Here is an 11,993-nt window from a genome sequence, read left to right as displayed (position 1 = left end):
TCTTGAATCTAAGAAGTTGCATCTATAGATCATAAATCACAAAACAAAACAAAACACCAATGAAATGTTTACTGTGTGAATTTAAGTCACTATTTCTCATGGAAATTCAGTCTATTGTTTTTGTTTTTCCTTAACCTTTTAGTTCCTATTCCCTTTGAAATTTTCCTTTTGTCTATAAATGTTTCAGTTAGATCTGGATGGCCTCAGCCCCTAATTGCTGAATATGCTCTGTGGTTTTCCTCTTATTGTAAAGGACCGAGGCTGAGAATACCTGCATCCAAATACATTTGGATGGAGTAAACAGATGCTTTCAACTACCTTCCTTCCTTTCCTTCTTGAATGTTGCCATGCCAGGTGTAGGTTCACTGGATTCTTTTTTATTGGAATGGTAGATATGGTCAAAGTGAAAATTTGGGGATGGTATCCTTGAATTCTTGTTTGTATATAATTCCAAAGACCAGTCCATGTTATAGTTAAAGCCCCAGAAAGCTAAACAATTGGCTTCATAATCTCAGTTCTTTCCTCTTTGGAAAGCAATACAGAATTTAGGTGCAGTAAGTTGTCCTGAAAAATCAATCTGTAAAAAGTGTGACACACACATTGGAAGAGTGTAATTTCTACTCTTTAATTACTTCTAAGTTAAGAAAGTTCAAAGTACGGTGACTACTACACGCAGACTAGTACTTCTCTTGTTGGCTAAGGACTCATTGTTCCTAAATTATAAAGTGAGAATAAATTTGAAGTCTACAGATCTTGGATGTGGAAGGACTGTAAGATGGAATAAGCACAATTTAAAACAAATATACCCTGTGGAATTTCTGACATAAAATATTGGCCTCCAGCTTTGACACTTAGTCTCTAACCCTCAGAGAATCAATAGTTTCAGTTTATAGGAGCTGGAGAATGAACAGCATGGAGGCCGAGGCTTTCCAGAGTGATACCATCAAAAGGAAAGAAATTAAATAGTCAACACAAATTTCACCCCACAGTACTACCATAAGCCAGCCAACCACAGCAAAACCTGAGTTAGGGCTTCTGTAAGGAAAGTGTACCAAATAGTATGCAGTAACTTGCAAATACAAGGTATTCTTTCAATTCCTGCTAGCCCCTTAGTTGTTTCCCCATTCTGATATGGGAATTATTCTCAGTACTGTTTATATTATTTTGGTTGTTTTATGATTAATGACAATATCTAGACTTTTCTAAGCTGCTATAAATGTCCCATTTGTTCAGAAAGTTAAGCCTTATTGAGAAAAAAACAAGTTACCTCCATTGATAGATTACATTTTTACATTTAGATGTTTTCAGGGCATAGAATTAAAAACAAACAAAAAAACAAGCACTATATGACTCCAGGGTGACTGATTCCTGTGTCTAAAGTCCAACATTTACAGACATGAGGAAAAAAAGCAGGAAAAGGCTCTTTTTCTAACTTTTTGGGTTAACAAACTTATTTTTGGTCTCCTATAAAAGTAATTTCCTGATAAGACTGTGAAATGAAAATTTAAATATTTTTTTAAGAGGTGTGTGTACTCTGTCTTCCACAGTCAGGTTATCCGCCTTTATAGAAAATGCAGCTTGCTCTTTTTCCACTATTTACTTTTTAAAGTGGGTGTTCTTTTCTACTGGCTTACTTGATTACAGTGGAGTAATCTCAATAATGGTTGTTTATTTGAAAATCAACAAGGAGCCACCACTAAACAACAATAACACAAACTACATGGGGCTGGTGTTGGATTTTTATCTTTTCTGTGTCTGGGCGACTTTCAATGGTCTAGAAATTCCTCAAAGTTCTAATCAACAAGAATTGGGAGTTTCTGCTGATATGAAAATGACAGTTTTGTTTGCATGCAGGAAGAGATGTAGAAACTAATTCCTCAAAAGCATTTTTTTTCTTTCAAAGAGCAAAAACAAAAATCCTTCATGGTAAAGTTGTTTTTTTTTTTTTTTTTTTAATAAGCATTAGCATCTAAAAAATAAAGAAAATGTGGTGAGTTTTGCTTCACCTTAAAAATAACTTCCTGCTGGGAAGGTTGTAAAAAGGAGTTCCCAGAGCCAAACTAGGAAAGGGGGAAAAAAATGCTTCCCATCAACTAACCTCAGGAAATTGGCAAGGAGGAACAGGGCATCCACCTTAGCGAGTCCACCCGGTCACCCCAATCATACCAGGATTCTCCCCTTCCCTGTAAGGAAAAACTATTTTTGATGCTAGCTTTGGTTTTGGTTTGCTCCCTAGGCCAAAGGGCATTTTGCAAACTAGCCTGGGGGATGGGGACATAGGGCAGATCTAGGAGGTGGGGGAGGGCTGCATTTTACCTGTTTGGCATGCCCTCCTTTGCAAAAAAAAAAAAAAAAAAAAAAAAAAAAAAACAGAGTACGTGGGGAGGGCTTAGGGGGGCCCAGCTATCATTCTTCGCCCATGCCCTGGGCCCCCGCTCCTCTCTCGCTTCTTTTCAAACTGTGGCGGCCTCACAAGCTCCTACTTTAAAAGGCCTGAGATGTTTTGCATGAAGCCCTCACAATAGGGGTTGAGGGAATTGACAGTTTCAAAAACAAGGCGTTCAGTCCTTTCCAGCTGCCGAGCCCGCTCTCTCGCACCAACTCCTCGTTCCTCTCTGCTGGTGGCGTCCTCCGGGGCGCGCGGCCGCCCCCACCCCGCCAGCCCGCGCTCCGGCCGGCCCACCCCACCCCCAGGCTGTGTTTGTAAACAGCGGTCAGTGGCCGGGGGCTGCTGGCGCGGGCTAGGGGCTTGGCGGGCTGGGAAGGAAGGCAGGGGCCGGCTGATCGCGCGATGGGCTGCGGGCTAAGGGCCGGCTTGGGGGCCGCAGGGGTTTCAGGGTCCCTTTCCCCCTCGCTTGCCCCAGGCCGCCGAGCTCTAGGGCGCACCGCGCTAAACCTAGGGCAGCTCCGGGCTCTCTGGGCCGGGCCACCACCACAAGAAAGATGTTTAAGTGCCGCCATTTTGCATGGTGGCAAACAAATTTCTTTGTGACTTTTGTTTTCCCGCCCAGATCTTGCTGTCCTCTGAATGGGTGACGATGTCGACCCCCGGGGCGAGCGGCAGGGCCAGCGCCGCGGCACCTCCCGAGCAGCCTCTCGGCCAGTCGGCCTTGGGGCCAGGCCAGGGGCGAGCGGGGGGCGCAGGGCGCGCGGGGGCCGGCCCTCGGGGCCTGGAACGCCTCCCCTCAACTTGGCGCTCCTTTTGTGTGTCCCGAAGTCATCGCCCACCCTGGCACACGCACACGCAGCCTCGCCGTTTCTCACCTTCTCGCCCAGGCCTCATCTCCGCTCCCCAGGCAAATGGGGCCCAGCTCTTCGCATTGGGCGGAGGGCTGGCCAAGGCCTCCAAAAGGCGCGTGTGGATCGCCAGTGGCAAAGGGTTGGGGCTTTCCCCTGGGCCAGTGTGGCCGCGAACGCCTTCTGGGAAGTGGTTCAAGACCAGAGGCCCTGGGTGTTGGGGAGGGCGCGGGGGGCGCAGGCAGGGCCGGGCGCAACTCCCACAGTGGGAGGAATGGGATGAGGCCCGGCTGGCTGGGTTTGGCGCGTGGTCCCCATCCCTGGGAACCTCTCCGTGCATCTGCAAGGGGAATGATGGCCTGGAAACGGGAAACGTGAGAGAGTGACCTGGAAAGCCACCCTCGGTTGGGGAGGTTGGAGTGCAGCAATGCAAACAAAGCTGCTACCGGGGAAGAGGGGAAACAGAGGTGCACCGCAGCTAGGTCACAGGAAAGTGCAACAAGCTTGTTTTCCCGGGTGTTTAAAATGCAGCCCCAGTTGTAAAGTGTGTGAAATTACGCACTGGTCTCTTAAAGAGTGCCTAATTTATAGTAAATAGCAAGGTCTTTGTAAATGGCTTTATTATGTTGTTTCTTGTTAATTGTTGAGAAAATCCCCATTGTTGAGTGTGAAAGGCTTTATGAGCTAACCTGGTCCTCGGCGCAATCACAGGGCAGTAAATGGCCGCTCGGCCTCCAAGGCCCCGCGCGGGAGCCGTTGCCGGCCGAGAGTGCCGCGGGGACCTCTGGAGATGCTGCCTCGGCCTGAGAAGAAAGTGGCCAGGCTTTCCAGGTTTTAATTAATGGGAAGGCGTGTTTGGAACTCGCAGGCCTCCAAAAGCAGCTGGCTGAGTGCGGCAGGGGGAACCGGGCGGGCCTGGGGGACCCCGCCCGAGAGGGCTGCGGAGAGGCGGAGGGGTCCCGGGCTCCCCTCTTCGGTCACAGGCTGCTGGGGGTCGCGCCTAGGCCCGCGGGTCCCGGGCGCCGGCTTGAGCCGCTCTGCGGTGGGATTGGATCTTGGGCTTTGTCTCCAGTTCTCCAGACGCTTGGAACGCGGGATCTGGCCGGTTCGGCCAGGCCTGCGGAACCTGAAAAAGCCTACCGGGCCTGGAGACCGCAGGGTCTGCGGGGCAGAGCAGGCTCCGGGGACAGCTCCAGGCCCCAGCTCAGGCCTCTTGTCTTTTGTTTAAAGGGATCTCCATCTCTCTCTTCTTTCTCTAACCCCCTGTTTCTTTTCCCCCTCTCGCCCTCTCTTTTTCTCCCTCTCTCTCCCTCTTACACACACACACACACACACACACACACACACACACACACACACACACAGTCTCCATTAGAAACTAAAATGGAATCGGAAGACGGGAGAAATAAGAGGAAGGGGTTTTGGTTTTGTGTGTTGAACAAGGAAAAAGAATGTCTTCTTTAAGATAAAATATTCCTATCTCCTTTTCCCATCTCCTCCAGTTCCCTTTCCTCCCAGTTGGGACCTGAGAAGGGTATGGGCAAAACCAGGCAGGCGCTGGATTCCTCGGATTAACTTTGAGGAGAGAACCCGTTGGGGTCCTGCAGGCCGGGAGAGGACAAGCGGAGAGCGCCTCCCCAGCATCTGCCCTGCGGCCTTTCCCGGCACTTAGGACCCAGTGGGTCGGGGGAAAAGCAGCAGCCGCCTCTCCGCAGCCCCTGAGCTCTGGCAGTGCAGTTAGAAGGAAGACAATTCCTTACTGAGCCTACAAGCGTAGAAGAAAACCTGGGTTAGGTGGGCTGCATGTGAGGGTTTAGACATTAGCTAATGCAAATCACAAGGAAATGTTAATTCCAGTAGGAAAAGCCTATATTCAGCTATCTTCCTTCCCTTCTAAGATGGCCCTCTGCTTGCTTGCGCGCTAGCTCTCACCAAATTAGCTATTACGTGAAATCCCCCTGGGTTTAAGGCACTTGTTTCACGGATTCGCGTACAACCCATATTAACTATGCACTTTCTGCTATTCCTCTTGTGATTGTCCCTGCCTCTTCCTTCTTTGCAGAGAGTATGATGCATTTTATTTTAGTCCAATCGATGCATGCAAATACTGGGATAACACAACCCACACTTCTGCAATGGAGGCTGTTTTCAAAATTGAGTTTAGGGATCAATACTAAGTCGAAATGCTCCAAATTGCACGAATTCACCAAATTCAAGCCCTGGGCTTCCAAGCCCCTATCCTGACTGATTAACGCACTCTCAGATAGCTGTGCTTCCACCGTCCCTGCCTCTCATAACAGGATGTTTTCGTCTAGTGTATTTGGCTTTCCCTAAAGATCACTCGGGTTTGCTTGGAAAAACACGACCCCAAAACGTGTAGTGTGAAACTCTTGTCGATGGCTTCCGTACAGGTCTCCTCTCACATTCGCCTTGCGGACTGCCATCTCCCTTTATTTTCCTGGGACCGAACAGCAGCACCTAGCAGTGCCATGCTGGGTGCTCCGAAAACGTTTGCTCAGCTGAATAAATGCTTTATTGGTCAGGGAACAGCCCTATCCTGTGCCACTGCTTAGCTCCCACGATGTCTTCTTCGCCCAGAGCTGAGCGGCTTGGATTGCAGCACAGCGAGCTCTCTATTCTTTTCCGGCTGCGGCCATGGCTGCGGGGCGACTGGTGCCTAACCGGGTGTGTGTGGGGGGCGGGGGCGGGGCAGGAAAGGGCAGTGGTTGTCCCCTTGTTGCAAGAAATGTTTAAGGCCAGAGAGGTGTGTATGTGGGGGGTGGGAGGGATTCCAAAAGAGAATCAGAAGAGATTGCTGCCCACAGATGTGTATGTATATAGTCTAAAAAGAATATATGGGAAACAACCCAAGTACCTAGGATGCCAGAGTGTCCCTGATTCCTTAATTCCTGCTGTCTGGATCTTCCTTCAGGGTAGATAACTGAAACAAGAAAGAAAAAGGTGGAGAGATAGTAGCAGGCAGTCTAGAGGCCTTCCAGTAAGATGCAGTTATTCATCTAATCACTACCATCAACACGTTTGTGTTGGACCCTTTTTGCATGGAAAACGCTCAGCAGTCAGTTGACTTAGACCCTAAAATATCACCAGGCTAGCAGAGGGCAGCTCTGCAAAGGCCTTCTCCAGCCCCAGTGCACGGAAGGAAGGGAGGGAAAAGAAAAAAAAGAGAAACCATCTGAGTGGCAGCTTACTCTCCTTTTCCTCAAGCCACCAAAACAAACAAACAAACAAATAAACTCAGAATTCTGGAGGCTGGGAGAAGCACATGTAGGGCACAAGAGGTTAAAATGGAATTTCTGTTGTTAGTGCTTGCCCTCTTTAAGATCAGTTTAAGTTGGCTCCAGGAAAAACGCAATACTTGTGGTAAGTGATGAGCAGTAGAAAGGAAACACCGTGTGGAAGAGAGGCTGCTCTGAGTGGAGGCAGCTGACCTCCTCCCCCTTTTCTGTGAAAGTTAGATATATGAGAGATCTGAAGGCTACCACTTGGTCAGTAGGCAGGGGTTTCAGTCTCTGCAAGGGCCTAGATTCTTGGATATTCAGGAATAAAGACACATTTTACATTCATTCTCTCATCTCTTTCTTTCCTCCCCCCGCCTCCCTTCAAATGAATACCCTGACTGTCAGTGGTGCAAATGTCTGAGATTCGTTTTCTTCCTCTACGTTGGGTCCAAATATGCAGACCAGTAGCTGGTTAAGCTTTCAGATGTCTAGTTATCCTATCCATTCAAAGTCAAACCTGCATGATACGGTGGGAATTGCCTTGAACAGGTTTATTTACCTTTCTCCCCTTTTCCCTGTATCTTCTGTTTTCTCTCTCCTCCCAGTCTCTCAGCTTTTCCCCTTCTTCCCTTCCCCCTACCTAACCCTTGCACCCAGGTGAAGGCTATGTTGGGAAATACCCATATTTCATAATATTTGCTCCAGAAGTGGAAAGAGGGTAAGATCTGGACTTACACCAGTGCTGAGAGAAGCAGTGTGGGAGCCTGCAGTGATCCTGAGCTTCCTTGCTGGGGTGAGGGGCCAGGGCTTTGCAGCCTCTTGCCCTGCATGTGCTGAGCTATTCTGGTTAGGCTATAAAAAACAGCATGTATCTCAAGACCAGGAGAGCTGCACTCCATAAACACATGGCTATGGTTCTAACATGGAGCACATTGCCAGATGCAAATGTAAAGAGATGCTTTTAATTTTGTTCCCAGTGTTATACATCATGTGGCAAATTGGCCTTTAGGAAGCCAATTTTTATTTTTTCTGTTAATAATAAAGACTTTTAAAACAAACTTAAACATTTATGATTAAGAATTAAAAGGGTGTACATCACTACTACCGGAATGTTTCTTATCTGATTTTAAAAAGAGAGGTGGGATTTTTCCCCCCTTTCCTAAATAAGGAAGATTTTTAAGCGGAAGATCTTGGTTAACATTCAAATTGTTCAATTGTTTTGCTGCTCATGACTTTAAGAAAATAATGAAAATATTTTAATTCTTGTGTTTTTTATCCTTTTACATCTTTATGCACCATAAATTTAAAAGTAAATTAGGAAATTAGTTACACACTTCTATCATCTCCTTTAAAGAAATTACCTCTGAAACATCTACTTTCTCTAATATGGCCAACATTTCTTATTATCTTATATATTTCAGTCTGTGTTTGTAATTTAAGATTACTGTTAAACAGGAGAAAAACAACTTATTTTGTAGAACTTAAGTGGGAAAGAAATATAACTTATTTTGTAGACTTAAGAAGGTTACAAGTATTTCTAAAATTTTGTCCTTTCTGTGAGTCTCTAACTGGTTTATCTGAATAGGATCTGATCCTACCACACATGAAGGCACTACATATAATATCCTGACACAACAGAAGGATCTCTAGATGAATTGGAAGCATCCTGATTGTGAATTTCCTATCTTTTCCTGTTTTGAACCACTACTTTAGTGTATACTCCAAGATTGATTTTAACTGTGATCTCCTTCAGGAAAAAAAAAAGTGCAAAAAAATAATATTAAGAAACAGAGAAGGCCGGGCACGGTGGCTCATGCTGTAATCCCAGCACTTTGGGAGGCCGAGGAGGCGGGAAGATCACTTGAGGTCAGGGGTTCGAGATCACCGTGGCCAACATGTTGAAACTCCATCTCTACTAAAAATACAAAAATTAGCCCAGCATGGTGGCGGGCGCCTGAAGTCCCAGCTCCCCGGGAGGCTGAGGCAGGAGAAACGCTTGAACCTGGGAGGCGGAGGTTGCAGTGAGCCGAGATCGTGCCACTGCACTCCAGCCTGGGCGACAGAGTGAGACTCTGTCTCAAAAAAAAAAAAAAAAAAAAAAAAAAGAAAGAAAAGAAAAGAAAAAGAGAAGCAGGAAGTCTTTTATAAATTCTGTTAGAACCATTGATCCCAGTTACCTGCTATAATGTGAATGGAATCATTATGGCTGTTCCATTGACATGGTTTCTTCATTCAGGATCCTGGCCAAAGGAATAGCATGTCAATGTGTAAAATTCTAGCCAAAGATAAGCCATTACAATGGAAATCGCGATGTGCAAAGTCTCATTGAAGCCAATGAAATTGAGTGTAATATCCATATAGCATTCTCATCTGCTTGCTCCAGGATTTAGTATGCGGCTCTGCATTGAAATGAGATTATGCATATAAAATGCCAATATAGAATACACTGCCCAATAAAACATTAGAAAAGCAACTTACAGCCCATATACATGGGCTTTACTTAAATTTGAACTTCATGTGCAAAATAAACCACAGTGCCATCAGAACACTAAATCTACAAAATGTCCTCACTCTGGTTTTTCATGCTTCTTTATGCATGATTCCCTCAGCCCCCTCCTATCCAAACACAGTTCTTTTAAGGGCACTCTTCAAATCATCTAACAATTCCCAAAGGGTATTCCAGGAGTCTCTTAAAGTGTCTTTCTAAATTAAAAGGCTCCAAATAATTTAAGTGCATTTTTGAACCAAAAATATCAGAAAATATTTGGGCTTGCAAACTTATGGGTGTGTAACCAGAAGAAAGGGACAAAAGAGAAAACACCCCCGCAGTGGATTACAAGGTTATGGGACAGGTCACTAGGAAAGGGAAATAAAACTGAATGTTAGGTTGGGCTTGTAAATTATGCACCTTTCAGGGAAAGAGGTTTAAGGTCTCTTCACTGAAGGGTTTTTTCCCATCCATTTTGCTATTAATTCTTAACTCTTGGTAGGCAGTTCTTTAATGAGGTTGTTTGTGGCAGGTTAATTTTATCCAATCTACTGAGCTCCTCATTTTCCCTTTTAAGTGCACTGTTGCCTACAGCTTTCAGCATTTTCCATAACAGAAGAAAACAGAATAAACGTGAAGTTGTCTGGCTGGGCTGAGAATTAAAGGCGTTATGTGGACAGATAAACAGAGGACCTGGACAGATGGTAGTGGGAGGATAGAAACTGGGCTGAGTTGAGGGCATGAGGGAGAGAATTCGGTCTTAGGAGAGGGATGACCCTAGGAGTGTAATATATTAAATATTGCAGCGATCGATTTCAATACCCCAAGTGGACACAGGAATAAAAATCCACCAAGAAGCTGAAGTGATTAGGAATGCTTTGTTGTGAGGAATGCTTTTTTGTGTATATTTTTACAAAATAGAAGAGACCTAGATAATCCAAGCGTAGGCCCTGGACTCCCCATTTGGGATATAACCCTAAAGGTTAGGCGTATCTCAATGGTGCTTCTGCTTAGTGAAAAGATGAGCCTTTGTACCAAGGGGGATTAAATATCAACCACAATTATGGGCTGGTCACTCTAGGAGCTTTCCTCCCAAATCAGAGACGAGTACATTTTGCAGAGGCTGCCTCTTTCCCGTGTATTAGTCTTTGTTTCAGCGCTGGGACAAAGCAGTTGCATTGGCACAATTCTTCTTTCACTAAAATCCAGGGGAAAATGCACAATATGGTTTACAGAAGGTTGATTCACAATAGCAGGCCATAAAAACAGCCTTTGGTGCTACATAGGGGAGAATATTTTTGAAATGTCATTCTAGGGACAAAAGTATGAAACTGTAATCCATGCAGGGACAAATACCCACTACCACACATGATTTCATTAGTGATTTCAGAATTGGGTGGGATTTTCTGTTATCTTTTTTTTTGTTTTAACTGAATCCCGCTCTTAGACATTCATGCTATGAACTGTATTCTCTCAGTCCAGGAATCTGTTTAGGGATTTGGGGTAGTCACTGTGGAAGCTGCTTGGAGCAGGGGGATTGTTTTCAGTCACAGCCTAATGGGCAAAGCCTGGGCTCTTCACACTGGGGACACCAAGTCGGCTGCTAGGGACACACTGTTGGATGCCTGCATGCAGCAGCGGCAGCTCCTGCAGCTGCCTCCTCCTTCAGTGTGGCTGCCACAAATCTGAGGAAGACATGCAGCATCATAGAAAGGATTTCTTTAATGAGGATGAGTTCCTCAGAGTGACTGTAGGCTGTAGTTCTCCTCCAGCCTCTCTTTCCCTCTACTCCATCTTTTCCTATCTGTGATATCGTTCCCTATACACTAGCCTGGGGTTGGAGAAAGCAACAACCCCCATCCCCCAACACATACACACACAACCACTACTCTCTCTCTGATAACCCAGAGGCTGATTTCTATTTTACCCTGGTGGTTGAGTGAGGATGGACTGAGTCAGGCTAGAACTGTAGAGTTGGGCAAAAGCAAACATGTCTCTCTCTCTCTTTACACATATCTACACCTCCTCCCTTCTCTGCCATGGTCTTCTACTCTCATCACAATGATGACTTGCTCCCACTTGGAGTTTGGTTGTAAGTACTAGATGTATTTCTCTGTGAGGATCTCCTTACCTGTGAATGGTCCAGACAGGAGGAGGAACCTTAAGCCCATTTCTTGGGAATCTAATGTGGGCTGACCTTGGCTGGATTAAGGCTGAGATTGGTTATGCAACAAAGCACCTGGGTTCTCACAGCTTGAATCTCCCTGGCTTTCTGTGGAGTGATGACTGGCTACAGGGAGGCTATTATGCCTTATAAAGCTATTTATCTCCCCAAAGGTACATGGCCCATTCCTCTCTTCAGGTTGGGGAGAGGGGTAGGTCGGTTCCAGTCAGGTGCAAGAGTAAAATTCACTCAAAAAAGTTACTTCGAGAAAGTATTAATAGTTATTGAAACCAGTTATCCCTCTTTTAGAGTGTGGGAAAGACTGAGTTATGGGGCAATTTGGATAAGAAAGGAGTTGTTCCATTTTGTGCTGATCCCCTTTGGCCATCTTTTATTCTGCATCTCCCCTGCTCCTCTTCCTCCCCACCCCCCATCCTCCTCTTCCCTGCTTCTTCTTCTGCCTTCCCTCCTCCTCCTCTTCTTTATTTTAAATCATGTCAGAAGAACAAGCAGGTTGAAAGCACCAATGGGCTTACATTGTGAGGGCCTCTGCTGCAGCTGAAACAAGGCCTGGCTGTGTCTGGACAGGTGGCACAGAGCGCAGAGATTCTTGTTCTTGTGTGACCGAGGGGTAATTTGGAGAGAAGGAATCTCCTTGGGGGAAGACATGTGGGTGGGGCCTCTCTGTCCCAGGTCACTGAAGCAGTTTCTAGGGGCAGTGCCTAAGCCGAAGGACCCTGTAGGCCTGCCCTGGTGTAGAGTACCTGTTGCTGGAAGCTGTGTGGGGAGCCTCTGGCCCCCTGGCCTATTGTAAGTCCTGGGGTTAGGTCGGGCTCCCCCTGGGGCTGCTGGATTCACCTGTCAT

General features: G+C 46.1%; 1 annotated feature.

Annotated features, from left to right (window-relative positions):
• Positions 8,427–8,659: a silencer, noted in NCBI's record as "fragment chr10:21793394-21793626 (GRCh37/hg19 assembly coordinates)". NCBI's record gives its function as "represses an EF-1alpha promoter that drives an FKBP-Casp9 reporter gene in an ReSE screen in K562 erythroleukemia cells {active_cell/tissue: K562}" and the evidence as "EXISTENCE:reporter gene assay evidence [ECO:0000049][PMID:32094911]".

Source organism: Homo sapiens, chromosome 10 (assembly GCF_000001405.40).
Source record: "Homo sapiens chromosome 10, GRCh38.p14 Primary Assembly".
In the NCBI taxonomy this organism is placed as follows: Eukaryota; Metazoa; Chordata; class Mammalia; order Primates; family Hominidae; genus Homo; species Homo sapiens.
The sequence above is the reverse complement of the archived record's forward strand: the minus strand, read 5'-3'. Positions and strand labels throughout refer to the sequence as shown.